Source organism: Homo sapiens, chromosome 13 (assembly GCF_000001405.40).
Source record: "Homo sapiens chromosome 13, GRCh38.p14 Primary Assembly".
Classification (NCBI taxonomy): domain Eukaryota; kingdom Metazoa; phylum Chordata; class Mammalia; order Primates; family Hominidae; genus Homo; species Homo sapiens.
In genome coordinates, this window is record NC_000013.11 from 72,895,489 (window position 1) to 72,914,849 (window position 19,361).

At 36.7% G+C, this 19,361-nt stretch overlaps 1 protein-coding gene across 16 annotated transcripts in view; it reads left to right on the top strand.

Moving 5' to 3' along the window:
• The window catches only part of PIBF1 (progesterone immunomodulatory binding factor 1), a 234,329-nt gene that overhangs the window by 113,356 nt on the left and 101,612 nt on the right, over window positions 1-19,361 (top strand). For 14 of the 16 annotated variants that reach the window (NR_146205.2, NR_146206.2, NM_001349655.2 and 11 more), the window contains one exon: window positions 13,043-13,193. Coding sequence is in view for 14 of the 16 variants with exons in the window: in NM_001349655.2 (NP_001336584.1) it covers window positions 13,043-13,193 (151 nt within the window). In the remaining 2 variants the exon portion in view is untranslated. Of the gene's footprint in view, window positions 1-13,042; window positions 13,194-19,361 lie in introns of those variants that run through there. The other 2 variants (XM_011534886.4, XM_047430050.1) reach the window with 1 other exon arrangement.

Sequence of the window (19,361 nt, forward strand, 5' to 3'; positions counted from 1 at the left end):
TCCAAGAAATGAAATGCAAATTGCTAATAAATAAATAAATGAAAATATGAATTCTCACTGATAAGTACCAAAATATAAATTTATAAATTTAAACTTTTTTTTTTACCTTTAGATAGGTCTGTGTGTTGTTTTTAAAATGCTGGCAAGAGTACCCTTAAGTGGGAAATCTCATGAGTTAGAAAATGAAACAGCCCTTCTGGACATTATGGTAATCTGTGTTAAAAGCCTTAGAAGGTTGATCCAGATTGTGAATTTTAGCTCCAGATCGACTGCAAGAACAAACCAGCAATCCTGAGAGGACCCACAGACCCTCTGAAGGAAGCGGACTGCTCCTGCAGGACCCGGAAGACACCCCAAATACTCTGGGAGGTGGAAAGCCTCGGGCAAGTTTTCAAGCCCAACTCACTCTGGGCCTGGAAACAGACTCTTGGGCTGTTGTGTTGGGGGGAGCCAGTGGGAGCGAGACCAGCCCTTCAGTTTTCGTGGGAACTGGGTGAGGCCTGTGACTGTTGGCTTTCCCCCATTTCCCTGACAACCTGCATGACTCAGCAGAGGCAGCCATAATCCTCCTAGGCCACCTCCACCAGAATAGGTGCTGGTATCCATGATGGAGAGACCCATAGACAGTTCACATCACAAGACTGTGCAGAAAACCCCAGTACCAGCCTGGAGCTGGGTAGACTCACTGGGTAGCTATACCCAGAAGAGCGACAACAATCACTGCATTTTGGCTCACGGGAAGCCACATCCACAGGAAAAGGGGTAGGGTACTACATCAAGGGAACACTTCGTGAGGAACAAAAGAACCTGAACAACAGCCTTCAGCCCTTGACTTGCCCTCTGAGAGAGCCTACCCAAATGAGAAGGAACCAGAAAACCAACCCTGGTAATATAACAAAACAAGGCTCTTCATGACCCTCCAAAAATCACACTAGTTCACCAGCAGTGGATCCAAACCAAGAAATCCCTAATTTACCTGAAAAAGAATTTAGGAGGTTAGTTATTGAGCTAGTAAGGGAGGAACCAGAGAAAGGTGAAGCCCAGTGCAAGGAAATCCAAAAAATGGTACAAGAAGTGAAGGGAGAAATATTCAAGGAAATAGCTAAAAGAAAAAAAATCAAAAATTCAGTGAACTTTGGACATGCTTTTAAAAATGCGAAATGTTCTGGAAAGTCTCAGCAATAGAATTGAACAAGTAGAAGAAAGAAACTCAGAGCTTGAAGACAAGGTCTTCGAATTAACCCAATCCAAAAAAGACAAAGAAAAAAGAATATGAAAATATGACTAAAGCCTCCAAGAAATTTGGGATTATGTTAAACAACCAAACCTAAGAGTAATCAGTGTTCCTGAGGAAGAAGACAATTCTAAAAGCTTGGAAAACATATTTGGGGGAATAATTGAGGAAAACTTCCCTGGCCTTGCTAGAGACCTAGACATCCAAATACGAGAAGCACCAAGAACACCTGGGGAATTCATTGCAAAAAGATTTTCGCCTAGGCACATTGTCGTCAGGTTATCCAAAGTTAAGACGAAGGAAAGAATCTTAAGAGCTGTGAGACAGAAGCACCAGGTTTTCCTATAGAGGAAAACCTATAAGATTAACAGCAGATTCCTCAGCAGAAAGCCTACAAGCTAGAAAGGATTGGGGATCCCATCTTCAGCATCCTCAAACAAAACAATTATAAGCCAATAACTTTGTATCTAGTGAAACTAAGCATCATAAATAAAGGAAAGATACAGTCATTTTCAGATAAATACATGCTGAGAGAATTCACCATTACCAAGCCACCACTATAAGAACAGCTCAAAGGAGCTCTAAATCTTGAAACAAATCCTGGAAACATCAAAACAAAATTGCTTCAAAGCATAAATCACACAGGACCTATAAAACAAAAATACAAGTTAAAAATCAAAAACAACAACAAAAAAAGTACACATGCAACAGAAAGCATGATGAATGCAATGGTACCTCACATTTCAGTACTAACATTAGATGTAAATGGCCTAAATGCTCCACTTAAAAAAGGTGCAGAACTACAGAATGGATGAGAACTTGCAAACTAACCATCTGCTGCCTTCAGGAGACACACCTAACACATAAGGACTCACATAAACTTAAAGGGGTGGAAAAAGGCATTTCATGCAATGAACACCAAAAGCGAGCAGGGGTAGCTATTCTTACATCAGACAAAAAAAACTTTAAAGCAACAGTGGTTAAAAGAGACAAAGAGGGACATTATATAATGGTAAAAGGCCTTGTCCAACAGGAAAATATCACAATGGACCTAACACTGGAGCTCCCAAATTTATAAAACAATTACTAATAGACCTAAGAAATGAGATAATCAGCAACACAGTAATAGTGGGGGACTTCAGTACTCCACTGACAGCACTAGAGAGGTCTTTAAGACAGAAAGTCAACAAAGAAACAATGGATTTAACTGGATTTAAACTGTACCTTGGAACAAATGGACTTAACAGATGTAAACAGAACATTTCATCGAACAACTGCAGAATACACATCCTATTCAACAGCACATGGAACTTTCTCCAAGATAGACCATCTGATAGGCCATAAAATGAGCCTGAATAAATTTAAGAAAATTGAAATTATATCAAGCCCTCTGTCAGACTGCAGTGGAATAAAACTGGAAATCAACTCCAAAAGGAACCTTCAGAATCACACAAATACATGGAAGTTAAATAACCTGCTCCTGAATGAGCATCAGGTCAAAAATGAAATCAAGATGGAAATTTAAAAATTGTTTGAACTGAATGACAGTAATGACACAACCTACCCAAACCTCTGGAATACAGCTAAGGCAGTGCCAAGAGGAAAGTTGATGGCCCTAAACACCTACATCAAAAAGTCTGAAAGAGCACAAACAGACAATCTAAGGTCACACCTCAAGGAACTAGAGAAACAAGAATAAACCAAACCCAGCAGAAGAAAGGAAATAACCGAGATCAGAGCAGAACTAAATGAAATTTGAACAAAAAGAAATACACAAGGTAAATGAAACAAAAAGCTGGTTCTTTGAAAAGATAAATAAAATTGATAGATCAGGCCAGGCACGGTGGCTCACGCCTGTAATCCCAGCACTTTGGGAGGCTGAGGTGGGCGGATCACCTGAGGTTGGGAGTTCGAGTCCAGCCTGACCAACATGGAGAAACCCTGTCTATACTAAAAATGCAAAAAAAAAAAAAAAATAAAGCCGGGCATGTGGCTCATGCCTGTAATCCCAGCTACTCAGGAGGCTGAGGTAGGAGAATTGTTGGAGCTTGGGAGGCAGAGGTTGCAGTAAGCAGAGATCGTACCATTGCATTCCAGCCTGAGCAACAAGAGCGAAACTCCATCTCAGAAAAAAAAAAAAAAAATTGATAGACCATTAACAAGATTAACCAAGAAAAGAAGAAAATCCAAATAACCTCACTGAGAAATGAAACAGGAGATATTACAACTGACACCACTGAAATACAAAAGATTATTCAAGTCTACTGTGAATATCATTACACACATAAACTAGAAAACCTAAAAGAGATGGATAAATTCCTTGAAAAAATACAACCCTCCTAGCTTAAATCAAGAAGAATTAGATACCCTAAAAAGACCAATAACAAGCAGCGAGATTGAAACGGTAATTTAAAAATTACCAAAAATAAAGTCCAGGACCAGATGGATTCACAGCAGAATTCCACCAGACATTCAAAGAAGAATTGGTACCAATCCTTTTGACACTATTTCACAAGATAGAGAAAGAAGGAACCCTCCCTAATTCATTCTATAAAGCCAGCATCACCCTAATACCAAACCAGGAAAGGATACAACCAAAAAAGAAAACTACAGACTGATATCTTTGATGAACATAAATGCTAAAATCCTTAACAAAATACTAGCTAACCAAATCCAACAACATATCAAAAAGATAATCCATCACGACCAAGTAGGTTTCATACCAGGGATGCTGGATGGTTTAACGTATGCAAGTCAATAAATGTGATAACCACATAAACAGAATTAAAAACAAAAATTACACCTCAATAGATGCAGAAACAGCGTTAGACAAAATCCAGCATCGCTTTATGATTGAAACCCTCAGCAAAATCGGCATACCTTAACATCATAAAAGCCATCTATAACAGACCTACAGCCAACATAATACTGAATGGGGAAAAATTGAAAGCATCCCTGCTGAGAACTGAAACAAGGCAAGGATGCCCATTCTCACCACTCCTCTTCAATATAGTACTGGAAGTCCTAGCCAAAGCAATCAAACAAGAGAAAGAAATAAAGGGCATCCAAATCAGTAAAGAGGAAGTCAAACTGTCCCTGTTTGCTGACCATATGATCGTTTACCTTGAAAACCCTAAGTACTACTCCAGAAAGCTCCTAGAACTGATTAAACAATTCAGCAAAGTTTCCGGATACAAGATTGATGTACACAAATCAGTAGCACTTCTATACACCAACAGCGACCAGGCAGAGAGTCAAATCAAGAACTCAACCCCTTTTACTATAGCTGCAAAAAATTAAATACTTAAGAATATTCCTAACAAAGGAGTTGAAAGACCTTTACAAGGAAAACTACAAAACACTGCTGAAAGAAATCATAGATGACACAAACAAATGGAAACACATCCCATGCTCACGGATGTGTAGAATCAATATTATGAAAATGACCATACTGCCAAAAGAATCTACAAATTTAATGCAACCCCCATCAAAATACCACCATCATTCTTCCCAGAGTTAGAAAAAAAAATTCTAAAATTCATGTGGAATCAAAAAAGAACCCGCATAGCCAAAGCAAGACTAAGCAAAAAGAACAAATCTGGAGGTATCACACTACCTGATGTCAAACTATACTATAAGGCCATAGTCACCAAAACAGTGTGGTACTGGTATAAAAATAGGCACATAGACCAATGGAACAGAATAGAGAACCAGAAATAAACCCAAATACTTACAGCCAACTGACCTTTGACAAAGCAAACAAAAACAAAGTGGGGAAAGGACACCCTTTTCAATAAATGGTGCTGGGATAATTAGCTAGCCACATGTGGGAGAATGAAACTGGATCCTCATCTCTCACCTTATACAAAAGTCAACTCAAGATGGATAAAGGACTTAAACCTAAGACCCAAAACTATAAAAATTCTGGAACCTAACATCAGAAAACCCTTCTAGGCATTGGCTTAGGCAAGGATTCCATGACCAGAAACCCAAAAGCAATTGCAATAAAAACAAAGCTGGCCAGGTGCAGTGGCTCATGCCTGTAATTCCAGCACTTTGGGAGGCCAAGGCAGGCAGATTACATGAGGTTGGGAGTTCAAGACCAGCCTGACCAACATGGTGAAACACCGTCTCTACTAAAAAGACAAAATTAGCCAGGTGTGGTGGTGCATGCCTGTAATCCCAGCTACTGGGGAGGCTGAGGCAGGAGAATCTCTTGAACCCGGGAGGCGTACATTGCAGTGAACCGAGATTGCGCCATTCCGCTGCACCCTGGGCAACCAGAGCAAAACTCCGTCTCAAAACAAAAAGCAAAAAACAAACAAACAAACAAAAGCTAAATAGCTGGGACCTGATTAAAGAGCTTTCGCACAGCAAAAGGAACAGTCAACAGAGTAAACAGACAACCCACAAAGTGGGAGAAAAATCTTCACAATCTATATATCTGACAAAGGATGAATATCCGGAATCTACAGTGAACTCAAATCAGTAAAAAAAACAATCCCATCAAAAAGTGGGCTTAGGACATGAATAGACAATTCTCAAAAGAAGATATACAAATGGCAAGTAAACATGAAAAAATGCTCAACATTGCTAATGATTGGGGAAATGCAAAACAAAACCACGATACAGTACCCCCTTACTCCTGCAAGAATGGCCACAATCAAAGAATCAAAAAGCAGTAGGCTGGGCACGGTGGCTCACGCCTGTAATCCCAACACTTTGGGAGACCGAGGCAGGCGGATCACCTGAGGACAGGAGTTCGAGATCAGCCTGGCCAACATGTGAAACCCTGTCTACTAAAAATAAAAAATTAGCCAGGCATGGTGGCAGGTGCCTGTAATCTAAGCTACTCGAGAGACTGAGGCAGGAGAATCACTGGAACCCGGGAAGAAGAGGTTGCGGTGAGCAAAGATCATGCCACTACACTCCAGCCTGGGTGACAAGAGCGAGACTCCTTCTCAAGAAAAAAAAAAAACCAACCAGTAGATGTTGGCATGGATGCGGCGATCAGGGAACACTTCTACGTTTCTGGTGGGAAAGTAATCTAGTACAGCTGCTATGGAAAACAGTGTGGAAATTCCTTAAAGAACTAAAAGTAGAACTACCATTTGATCCAGCAATCCCATTACTGGGCATCTACCCAAAGGAAAATAAGTCATTATTTGAAAAAGATACTTGCACACACATGTTTATAGCAGCACAATTCACAATTGCAAAATCGTGGAACCAACCCAAATGCCTATCAATCGAATGGATAAAGAAACTGTAGTGTGTATGTATATGTGTGTGTGTGTGTGTATACACACACATGATGGAATACTGCTCAGCCATAAAAAGGAATGAATTAACAGCATTTGCAGTGACCTAAATGAGATTGGAGACTATTATTCTAAGGGAAGTAACTCAGGAATGGAAAACCAAATGTCACATGTTCTACTGATATGTGGGAGCTATGCTATGAGGACGCAAAGGCATGAGAATGATACAATGGACTTTGGGTACTTGGGGGGAAGAGTGGAACAGGGAAAGGGTAAAAGACTACAAATATAGTGCAGTGTATACTGCCCCGGTTGATGGGTGCACCAGGATCTCACAAATTACCGCTAAAGAACTTAACTTGTGTAACCAAATACCACCTGTACCCCAATAACTTACGGAAAAATAATTAATAAATAAGGGCTGTGTGGCTTTAAAAAAAAAAAAAAGAATTGATTGTTGGCATCTGAGCCTATAGTCTCTGCATCAGTAGGCAATATACCAAGTGGGTGGTATTAATCTTTCCTCAGCTTTTAAATATTAAGTAAACCCCCAAAATAAAATGGAAAGAAAAAAAGCTGATCCAGTAATTTTACTTAAAGGAATTTTATCTAAGGAAATAGAGATACGTATAAAGGTTTATATAAATGATGCATGTCGCAGCATTATTTATTATGTAAAAATTAGAAGTAACTTAAGTGTCCAACAGTAGATAAAGTTTTCAATTAGCATATTATAAATTGTGTATTTTGCTGTGTCCATGCACTGCATGTTCTTGGGTATTTTAGATTTGGGGAAAAGGCTAATTAAAAACATGGAATGAAGGATGCAGTTAGGAAATTAGTATGGTCTTGACTATGGTTTACATGTTCAGTAAAAATCATCAATATACATAGAAAAACATTTGAAGGAAATAAATCTTTTTTTTTTTTTTGAGACAGTCTCACTCTGTCTCCCAGGCTGGAATGCAGTGTCACAATCTCGGCTCACTGCGACCTCTGCTTCCCCAGTTTAAGCCATCCTCCCACCTCAGCCTCCCGAGTAGCTAAGATTACAGGCGTGCACCACCACGCCCAGCTAATGTTTTTATGTTTTTCGTAGAGACGAGGTTTCACCATGTTGGCCAGGCTCATCTCAAGCTCCTGACCTCAAGTGATTCCCCCTGCCTCAGCCTCCCAAAGTGCTAGGATTACAGGCGTGAGCCACCGCGCCCAGCCAAATATATCCAGATATTAAAGTTTATCTATAAATGGTATAATTATGGGTGATTTTTATATCTTCATTCTCCCCCCCTAGACTAAGACCTTTTTAAAAATATGCTTCTAGGTCTCAGCCAGAACCTGGCACATAGTTAATTGAATTGATAGTATGCAGTACTTTGTAACTGAGTGTCTATTAGGCAGTAAGCACTGTGCTGGGCCCAGTTACACAAATTTTAAGAAATGATTCCTATCTTCAGGAAACTAAGAATTTTGAACAGGGCTTTGAATAGAGCTTTCTGTAATGATGCAAATATTCTATATCTGCAATATCCAGTTCAGTAGCCACTTGCCACGTGTGATCATTTAGCACTTGAAATATGGCTACTTCACTGAGGAACCAAGCTTCTTTAGTTAATCTTAATTAAATTAAATCTAAAATTAGCTACATGTATTTAATGACTCTGGTATTAGACTGCATGCTCTAGACAATTAACCAGAGCATACACATCCTTACTATTAGGCAGTGGTAGGATTTGAAAACTTTTCTCCTTAGTTTTATCATAAAAGAAAAATGTAAGGTATTTTCTGCCCAAATAGAATTTCTTCTGGCAGTATTGGGTAGGGATTGGCCTGTGGGCTTTAGGCTCAACAGACCTAAGATTTGAACCCAGTTACTCACCACTCTCTGGATAAAATACTCATTTTCTTTGGGAATAATAATAGCAACTGTTTCATAATGTTGTTATATCTGTTTGGCTCATATAAAACAACCATTTATGCTCAGTACCAATTCATAGAAATCCTCAAAATATTGTTTTGATGCTATAGAATTTTGTTTTAGTTAAGTTGGGAAATGACGGGAAAATGGAAGTATCCTTTCCCAAAAGATAATTATTTGTTGGGTAAAAGATTTTTTTTTTTTCACTTTTCAGATCCCATAATAGTGTGCCCACTAATAAACTCAAGCATTTTAATCTTCCAATTTTCCTTTCTGCATATGAAGGTTTATTTTACAGTTACAAAAATATGAAATTATAGGTCATTAAACAGAAACTACAATGCAAAGAAACTGAAAGTTATTCAATTAGAAGCCTTTCTCAATTGAAAATCAGATATTAAAGTAGTTTCCCCCAAATTATAATGCAATTCAGTTACAGGATAAATATCATAAAATAGAACTGGTTTGTCTTTATTTTGGAAATACATGTGTTGCATACATTTGTCATTTATCCAAAATATCAAAATATTTCTTTTTTTTTTTTTTTTTTTTTTTTTGAGGAGGAGTCCTGCTCTGTCACCCTGGCTGGAGTGCAGTGGCACCGTCTCGGCTCACTACAACCTCCACCTCCCAGGTTCAAGCGATTCTTGTGCCTCAGCCTTTGAAGTAACTGAGACTACAGGCGCACGCTACCACACCCAGCTAATTTTTGTATTTTTAGTAGAGACAGGGTTTTGCCGTGTTGGCCATGCTGATCTCAAACTCCTGACCTCAGGTGATCCACTTGCCTTGTCCTCCCAAAGTGCTGGGATTACAAGTGTGAGCCACCATGCCTGGCAAAATATTTCTTTTTTAATGGCATTCATTTGATATTTTAAGACCACATAATATAGAAAATACACTTATAATACTAGGTGACAATATTCCTTTACACAGCTGTATGCACTGGATTTTTTTTTAATGTCTAAGGTGAGAATAAAAGATTTTGAAGAAATACACCATAAAGGGGGGTTGTTAACTAACAAATCAGCCTTGACTCATTTTAATGTTTTATTTCTACTTTTTTGTTCTAGAGAGGTTATATTATTTAATATCGCACAACTAGTAAGTGACTGAACTGTGATTAGACCTTAACACCTGACCAACCTCACTTTAAATCCCATACTTTTTTTTTTTTTTGGAGACAGAGTCTCACTCTATCTGTCACCCAAGCTGTAGTGTGATGGCATGATCTCAGCTCACCGCAACCTCTGTCTCCCAGGTTGAAGCAATTCTCCTGCCTCAGTCTCCTGAGTAGCTGGGATTACATGCACGCACCACAACACCCGGCTAATTTTTGTATTTTTAGTGGAGACAGGGTTTCACCACGTTGGCCAGGGTGGTCTTGAACTGCTGACCTCGTGATCCGCACATCTCAGCCTCCCAAAGTGCTGGGATTACCGGCGTGAGCCACCACACCCAGCGTAAATCCCATACTTTTAACCACCACAATATTTAATATTTATTACAGTAATCTCTCCAAGATTACACTTCTGGAAATTACTCTGATTAGTGAAACTAATTAAAGGGCCTCAGAAAATAAAGCCTTAGTGAAAAACATAAAAATATATTAAATATATATGTATGTTTAAAAAGACAAGCAAAATTTGTAGATGGTGTCTACTTATAAAGCAAATCAATGTTCAGTATTTAAAACTTTTTTCCTATACTTTCTTCAGGAAAATGCTGTAGAGTCATAATCTGTTGCAGGTGATTCTCCCACACATCCTTTTTTTATTGCCTTTAGCTGGTTACAAACAAAATTGATTTTATAACCTCCAAAAAATTGCAACTTGCAGTTTGCAAAGGACTCTCATAGACCTGTCAACTTGGTCTCTGGATGCAGGTGACTAGTAATTATTATGCTTTGTTTAAAGGTCATATATGGAAAAACACCTTTCTAAAAAATGTTGTGGTTCTAAAGATTCTGGTTGTTAAAACTGAGGCTTGAGGGCATTTCTTAACGTTGTGTGCCCCTATTAAACTGAAGCCTTGAGAAAGCAGAGAGATTATTCATTTATCATTGTGTCAGCAGTGCTTAACACAGTGCCTCTCTCATAATGAATCCTCAATAAATACTTGATGAATGAATGGTTTGATTAAGAATAATGTAGTATCATAGTTTGAATCTTTTGGTGGGGGGGATTCTACAAAGTATTTTTAAGACAATTCTTATTTATAATTAATTTATAGAGAAATAATTTCATCATGGTAAAGATAATGGACTTTTCTGGGCTTTTACCCAGTATTCTCATTGATTGTTAATTTGGAGATTATTTATTTTTGCTTAATTATTAATTGGCAAAGGCTCCCAGAAGCGTTGGCTTTATATATTTGTCTCTGTTTAAGGCAAAATTATAATTTTGTATTATCATTATTTAATCTTTGTATTATTCAGTTAATACATGTATTATTCAAAGGAAGGAAAATTTTACTGTGAGAACTTTATATTTAATGGATTCCTAAAATTAATGGGCTTATTTTATGTATCCATATTTAAACTGAAATGTTCATGTATTGATTTTTATTAAAACAAATCCTTAATATTATAGCCTACCATGGGTCCAACAGTCAAGTTCTCTTTGGCATTTCAGAAGCAGTAATAGGTTTACTTATAACAACCACTCAGACAAATCCACAGAAACAGAAAATTCTCTAATATGGGGTACTAGAGGTATTGGGAGATAGCCCACATCAGTAGTTTTTCAGGACCTCTCTTTCACATTATGAAGATATTTTTTAAATTACATCTCTCGTAATGGTTTTTAAATCTCTCCTTAAAATAATATCTTATAAAATATCCCATCTTCAACATTTTGATTCCTTATCTCTAATCATTTCTCCTGTTTTTCTTCGTGTGGTGGTTTTGCAGGGGGAGGTGGGGTACAAATGAAAAAGTATCAGCTCTGCTGTGGGAATAGTCATTTAACACTGCCTTTACTGATTCTCTCTTTTGACAGTGGAATTAGTTTCATCAGCCACCAGATTCTTAATGAATTACATCCCAATGTAATGAACTCCATGTAAGCCCCAGATAATGTCACTGAGTAATGATTTTTTTATAATGAATTAACAAGTTTCTAGAAAACACATTCCCAACAAGCAAGAATAAAGAAGAAATAATGCTAAAACACACATTTTGTTTTTTCTGACCCAACCAGAGCCACTGGAAATCACCATAAAAATGCTGTTCCCATTTTATTCCTTCTCCACTCTCCAAAGGAATGTATATGGAGAGTGAGGGATAATGTTTTGTTTACTTTGGGGGAAAGTTTTGCTGAAAATTGAAGGAAATGATCTGAAATAAGTTAAGGAAAATTATAATTTCTGCTCATTGAGAACTGTAAATAGGTCTTCCTTCTCCCTTTTTCCACATCACAGAAAACATATAATCATACACATTTTGTATTGTGAACTTTATGTCATTAGAGAAAATAGTTGTCTTTAAAAGTGTTTAATTGTAGAGAATTCAAGATAATTAAATTAGTGGAACTCTATTTGCATGAACTATTTCATGCAGAATTGTCATATAGTTATATTTCTTACAGTAGCAATAGTACTTTTCAACACTATGTTCTAGGTACTCTGCTAAGCACTGTAAATTTATCATCTCATTTAATTTCTTTCAACAGTGTTTTAAGGTAGGCCTATAAAGAATAAGTAATTGCCTAAGATCACAGCTAGTAAGTGTCAAAGCCATATTGAAATCCAAATTTTTCTGGCTCCAAACCATATTCTTCACTGTAGTAGTCTGTTGCCTCTCAGGAAACAGTATATTATGTTGTATTAGAAAGCAGGTGTAATACCACTCCATAATTTAGTCTGTAAAAATAAGTAAGCATTCTAGATAATTGGAATTTAAGCATTAAAACATTTCCGTATCACTAGAGGCATCTCTTTTTTTAGTTAATTTATTGTTGTCATCATGGTGTTTCCTTCAATGAATTACCATTGGAGTGTAGGATTTTTTGCTTGTATACAAAATGACTCCAATTTCCATGCCCTTTGCATCTCATTTTTAATGTGTTTTAGTTGTTCACAAAGGCATTTTCTGATACTGCCTCAAGCAGTACTTCACATTTACCTTTTGATTTCCTGCTTTGAATTTATGACTGTTCAGAAAACCAAAAATGTTATTAAGATCATAGTAAGGGTAATTCAATAAGCTCTGATGGAAAATTGAAGGATTTATTGTCAGTATATCGTTTTTACAAACAGCTTTGTAAGCCTCTGTCAAATGGCTTTGATTGCCAGATAAATGACCTCTATGTAAATATGACATTGTATTTTTTTAAATTCTAACAAGCAAATGCTAATATTACTCCTATAATTATTCCTAATTTTAAATTCATTTTTTATTCAGCTTATAAAATAAGGATAAGGTACTTCATAATTTTCAGTTAAAAACAACTGAATTATTTACCTTAGAAATAAATATATTTAATTTCCTCATTAGTCATCTTAATTGAGCTACTTTCTCTTAATATTTAAATAACAAAAAAAGCCCTATGAATGTCTTTGCATCATGTTTTTGTCTTAACTGTGCACCTGTTTAATTCTGCCTTTGTAATTCTTCTCTTTCACTATTAGGTTTTAACCAAAGAATTTTATAGTCTCCAAGCCTCTTCTGAAAAACGCATTACTGAACTTCAAGCACAGAACTCAGAGCATCAAGCAAGGCTAGACATTTATGAGAAACTGGAAAAAGAGCTTGATGAAATAATAATGCAAACTGCAGAAAGTAAGTCTTCCCCCACACACACATGCACAACTTTTTTTTTTCTGGCAACAAAAGACGCCTGACCTTATTTCTAAAACTACTTTGGGATCAGGCACGGTGGCTCATGCCTGTAATCTTAGCACTTTGGGCGGCCAAGGTGGGCAAATCACTTGAGGTCAGGAGTTCGAGACCAGCCTGGCCAACGTGACAAAACCCCATCTCTACTAAAAATACAAAAAAAAATTACCCAGGAGTGATACTGGGGAATCCCAGCTACTCCAGAGGCTGAGGCAGGAGAATTGCTTGAACCCGGAAGGCAGAGGTCGCGTTGAGCCGAAATCATGCCACTGTACTCCAGCTCAGGCAACAGAGTAATACTGTCTCAAAAAAAAAAGAAAAGAAAAAAATAAAACTACTTCGGTATATTTTCTTAAAATATAATTGGTGACTATTTCTAAATAAAATTCTGTATTTCAAATATTTGTTCATCTTCATCTTAGAAATTGCAGTCAAAAAAGAAACAGGTTAAATATGATAGCTTTTATCTGTTCAATTTTTTATCAAATTCACTTACTCCAGAATTGTTAAGTATTTACATCTGTCAGGAACTGGGGATTAGGAGTTCATGGAAATAATTCCCGTCTCAAGGGGTTTCTAATCTACTGAGAGAGGTGAACATAATAACAAATAATTAGAGTAGCAAGATAAATGCTATAAGCAAAAAATATGCAGTTCTCAGTGGAAATACAAAAGAGATCATTAATTAATCCCACCTTTAAAGGAGGTGAGGCATATCTAAGAGAGGAGATGACACTGCAATTAGTCTTTTCTTTTTTCTTTTTTTTTTTTTTGAGACGGAGTTTCACTCTTGTTGCCCAGGCTGGATTGCAACGGTGTGATCTCAGCTCACCTCAACCTCTGCCTCCCGGTTTCAAGCGATTCTTCTGCCTCAGCCTCCGGGTAGCTGGGATTACAGGCATGCGCCACCACACCCAGCTCATTTTGTATTTTTAGTAGAGACGGGGTTTCTCCATGTTGGTTAGGCGGTCTCAAACTCCCGACCTCAGGTGATCTGCCCGCCTCGACCTCCCAAAATGCTGGGATTACAGACGTGAGCCACTGTGCCCAGCCTTGGAATGAGTCTTGAAGTACAAATAAAAATTCATTTGAGGGTACTGTGTTATAATCTTTGATCTTTAATTTCTGTTTTCCTTTTTTCTTGTTTTCCCCTCTTGTTATCTTCCTGTCTTATCCCTAACGTTAATAAATATTTTAAATTAACATTTCACCATTGGCTGTGATGTTTGCTACAGTACATTATTTGTGTTCAAAAGTCAGATAACCATGGCATTCTTATAAAAATGGGTTTAAACTTCAGTTGAAGTTGAATTTGAATCTAGGTAGGGTTCTAATTATTTTAGGCACATTTTTGCATAAGGACTGTATTTACTTGTAGGCCAAATGTAAGAAAAACTTATTTCTTTCCTATCATTGTCCTATTTCCCATTTCCAAGGTCAATGTCTGATAACTGCAATAGATTTTAAATTTATCTTCAATTTCTTCACTGGAGTCAAAGTAATCTTTGTAACATTCAAATTTTCATATCATATGCTGGCTTTAATGACTTTTATTGTCTTCATTAAGACAATAAAGTCAAATTTCTTTACATGACTTCATGATTAGACTCATGTTTATCTTTCTGCTTTCATATCTTGCCATTCCCCTCCATATCATATTATTGTTTTGAAAGTTTCATACTCTTTCTTACCTCCGTAACTTTGCATATTTCCCTTTGTCTAAACAAATTAGGAATAGAAGGGAACTTCCTCGATCTGAAAAAGGGCATTTATAAAAACCAACAGCTAAAATTGTACTTAATGGTGAAATATTGAATACTTTCCCCATTGAGGGGGAGAGTAAAACAGGGTTTCCTATTTTCATGATTTATATGACATATTAAGTGCTGTATTTGAATTCCTAACCTGTGAGATAAGGATAAGAGAAGATATATATAAAAATCAGAAAGGAATAGTAAGAATCTATTTTCAGATTACCAAACAACTACTAAACCTGATAAGTGAATATAGCAGAATATATAGTCATTACCCAAAAATATACTAGAAGTAAACAATTGGAGAAGTAAGTAGCAACAAAAAACACAAAATACTTAGGAATAAATTTAAGCCAAAAAACCCTACAGATCATTGCTAAGAGAAATTAAAGAACCACTCCCCCCAAAATCACGAAATATATTGTGAATTCTATCAATTCAGTGTTCTTCTAGTCACAGTGGCAGGAGGCTTTTTTGTATTTCATTCATATGGAGTGCAGAGGACTGGAATATCCAAAGCAATCTTGAAAAAAGTTGAAGCCCTGTGTGGTGGTGCACTCCTGCAGTCCCAGCTACCTAGGAGGCTGAGGCAGGAGGATTGCTTGAGCTTAGAGGTTAAAGCCTGTAGGGTGCGATGATCATGCCTGTGAATACCCACTGCACTCCAGCCTGGGCAACATAGCGTGACCTCCTCTCCTCCACAAAAAAAAGAACAAATTGGAAGAATTGCACTACCTGTTTTCAAGATTTACTATAAAGCTTCAATATCAGGATAATACAGTACTGGCTTAAGGAAAGACAAATACAGCAATGAAACAGACTAGAAAACCCAGAAACAGATCCATACTTAAATAATAATTTCATTTTTAACAAAGGCAGCAAAGCAAACAAATGGAGAAAGGAAAGTTTGTTCAATAAATGGTGCTAAAAAAAAATTGGACATCTTTATGGAAGTAAACTTCCATACACCAATATTAATCTGAGACGATACCTAAATGGAATAGCTAAAACTATAAATATGTAACAGAAAACATAGGTGAGTTATCTTTACAACGTGGAGTACATTAAGACTTTTTTTGACATGGCCCTTGAATGTAATTATCATAAAAGAAAAACTGATAAAGTAGATGTCATCAAAATTTAAAACTTCTGTTCTTCAAAAGACACCATTAAGAAATGAATAGCCAAGCCACAGACTCAAAGAAAATAACCACAATTTTATATCTGACAAAAGAATGATACCCAAAATAAGAAAATATTGAGGAGAAAATATTCACAAAACATAGATTAAACAAAAGAAAATGATACCCAAATGTGGTGGGCTGAAAAACATCCTTCTAGAGATGTCCATGTCCTGTTGGGCATAGTGACTCATGCCTGTAATTCCAACACTTTGGGAGGCTGAGGCAGGTGGATCACTTGAGCTCAGGAGTTCAAGATTAGCCTGACATGGTGAGACCCCATCTCTAGAAAAAAAGAGAAAGAGAGAAGGAAAGAAAGGAAGGGAAGAAGGAAGGAAGGAAGGAAAGAGAAAGGAAAAGGAAGGAAGGAAAGAAAAGAGAAAAGAAAAGAAAGATGTCCATGTCCTCATCTTTGGAACCTCTGAAAAAGCTGGAAAAGGCAAGGAAACAGATTTCACCATAGAGCCTTCACACAGAACCAGCCCTACAAAGCATTGACTTCAGGTCAGTGAGGCTGATTTTTGGACTTACTACCTGTAGAGCTATAAAATAATAAATTTGTATTGTTTAAACCATAAAGTCTGGCAATCTGTTAACGTTAGCAGTAGGAAATTAATGTACCAGAATATATATTTAAAAATTCATGTAACTCAGTGATTAAAAAAAAAATAGTCCTGTTTAAAACATGGGCAAAAGGTTTAAACACTTCACAAAGGAAGACATGTGAATGACAAGTAAGCATAATAAAAGTATTCAACATTACTAGTCATGAGGGAAAAGCAGATTAAAAGCCCAGTGAGATACCACTGTATACCCACAAGAATGGCTGAAATTAGAAAGACTGACTATACCAAATGTTGGTGAGAAGTGGAGCAACTGGCAGTTTCTTACAAAATAATTAAACAACCTAATCAGTGATCCAGCATTTCCGTTACTTACCCAAGAGAGAAGAAAGCATATGCACCTTAAAAGATTTCCTCTAGAATGTTCATAGGAAATGTATTCATAATAGTCAAAAACTGACAACAGCCCAGGTGTGTATCTCAAAGGAAAATGGTTAATCAAACCATTATACATTCATGTAGTAGAATACTTCTCCTCACTGGAAGGAAACAATTGACTTACTTAACAACATGGATGAATCTGAAAAACATAAAGTGTACTTTATATAATATAGTATGATTATACTGTATGATTATAGTATGTGGTATGATTATACTATATGATTATAGTATATGGTATGATTATACTATATGATTATAGTATATAGTATGATTATACTGTATGATTATAGTATATAGTATGATTATACTATATGATTATATAAAGTTCTAGAAGAGACAGAAGTAATCTATGATGAAAAAAATCAAGGGGTGGGGGTAAAAATTTTTTTTTTTATTTTTAAAAAGACAAAAATCAGAACTGTAGTTGTCTCTAAAGATGATTGTCACCAAAAATTAACTGAGAAAAGTGACATGGAACTTTCCAGGGTATTCAGATGTTCTATATATCTTGATAGGGTTTGTGTTAAACACATGTCTGTACATTTCAAAACTTTTACATTTCAAAACTCGTTGAATGGTAGACTTAAAAAATAAAAATAAAATTTATACATGGTGAAAGTTACAAATCTTATTTTTTAGAAAATAACTGTAAATACATATTGAATTATAATTGATGATTTGCATGTTAAACTGTTGAGGAGTGAAGTGTGCAAATGTCCACAACTTTCTTTGAAATGCATCAAAAAAACATTCATGGAAACGGGTGGATATATGTATAATAAACACATAGTATGTTTGATTTAGAATCCAGATGTTGGAGCCAGGCACAGTGGCTCATGCCTTTAACCCCAGCATTTTGGGAGACCAAGGCAGGACGATTGCTTGAGCCCAGAAGTTCAAGGCCAGCCGGGGCAACCTGGCAAGACCATCTCTACAAAAAAATAAAAAATGAACCAGGCATGGTGGTGCCAGCTACATGGGAGGGTGAGGTGGGATGATCGCCTGAGCCCTGAACGTCAAGGCTGCAGTGACTGTGTTCACGCCACTGCACTCCAGTCTGGGTGACAGAATGAGACTCTGTCTCAAAAAAAAAAAAAATTGCAGATGTTGAGTATATGGATGTATACTGTACATTTTTTCAGTGTGTCCACATGTATAAATATTTTCTTAAAAGCTGCAGAAAAATAGAAATTAATTTTTGTTATGATACTATCTAAACCAACTTCAAATAAAATAGATTTACCTGTACTAGAAGATCAGTAACTAGGTTCTCTATCAGTTCACATTGGAAATTAAAATATACCTTGTCCTTATTTAATGAATACTTATCGATTAACTAAAATTTCAAAGAAGTGAGCACAGACTTTTTTTAGTACTACATTGTGTACAATTTTCAAAGGCTTGCCATTTAATTCAGGTAATTTCGGCTGACTTTTTTCAACAGACTATTTTTAGTACTACATTGTATACAATTTTCAAAGGCTTGCCATTTAATTCGGGTAATTTTAGCCGACATGAAGGTGATTAGCCTTCATTTATTAAGGTGTAACCATAGCAAATTAAAGTATCTTATTTATACTTGTATTGCTTTCTGTAATCAAATAAGTATTATTTGGATATTTGAGTTTAGTTTTCAAAGATTTCATCAAGTTGTTAAAAGTATAAGTATTGTCTAAAAGCTAAATAAACTCATATTAGAAAAAAAAAACAACCTAGATTTCTAGTTGTTAAATTCAGTTACCTGCCACACATCCTCATCATACTTATAACCTTCACTAGGCATTTGTCGAATTTCTCAGAACTCCCTTCTCTTTGCTTCTTGAATCACCTGCCTTTGTTTATTTTCCATCACTTAACTTCTGGATAATCTTTTCCCTTTCCGCAACTTCAGTTACTATCAATAGGCTAGTAATTTCTATAGTTAGACACAGGGTCTCACTGTGTTGCCCAGGCTGGAGTGCAGTGGTACAATCATAGCTCACTGCAGTCTCAAACTCCTGGGCTCAAGTGATTCCCCCTGCCTCATCCTCCCAAGTAGCTGAGACTACAGACACATGCCATCATGCCCAACTAATTATTTTTTGTAGAGACACGGTCTCACTATGTTGCCTAGAGTGATCTCAAACTCCTGGCCTCAAGGGATCCCCCTGCCTGGGCCTCCCAAAACGCTGG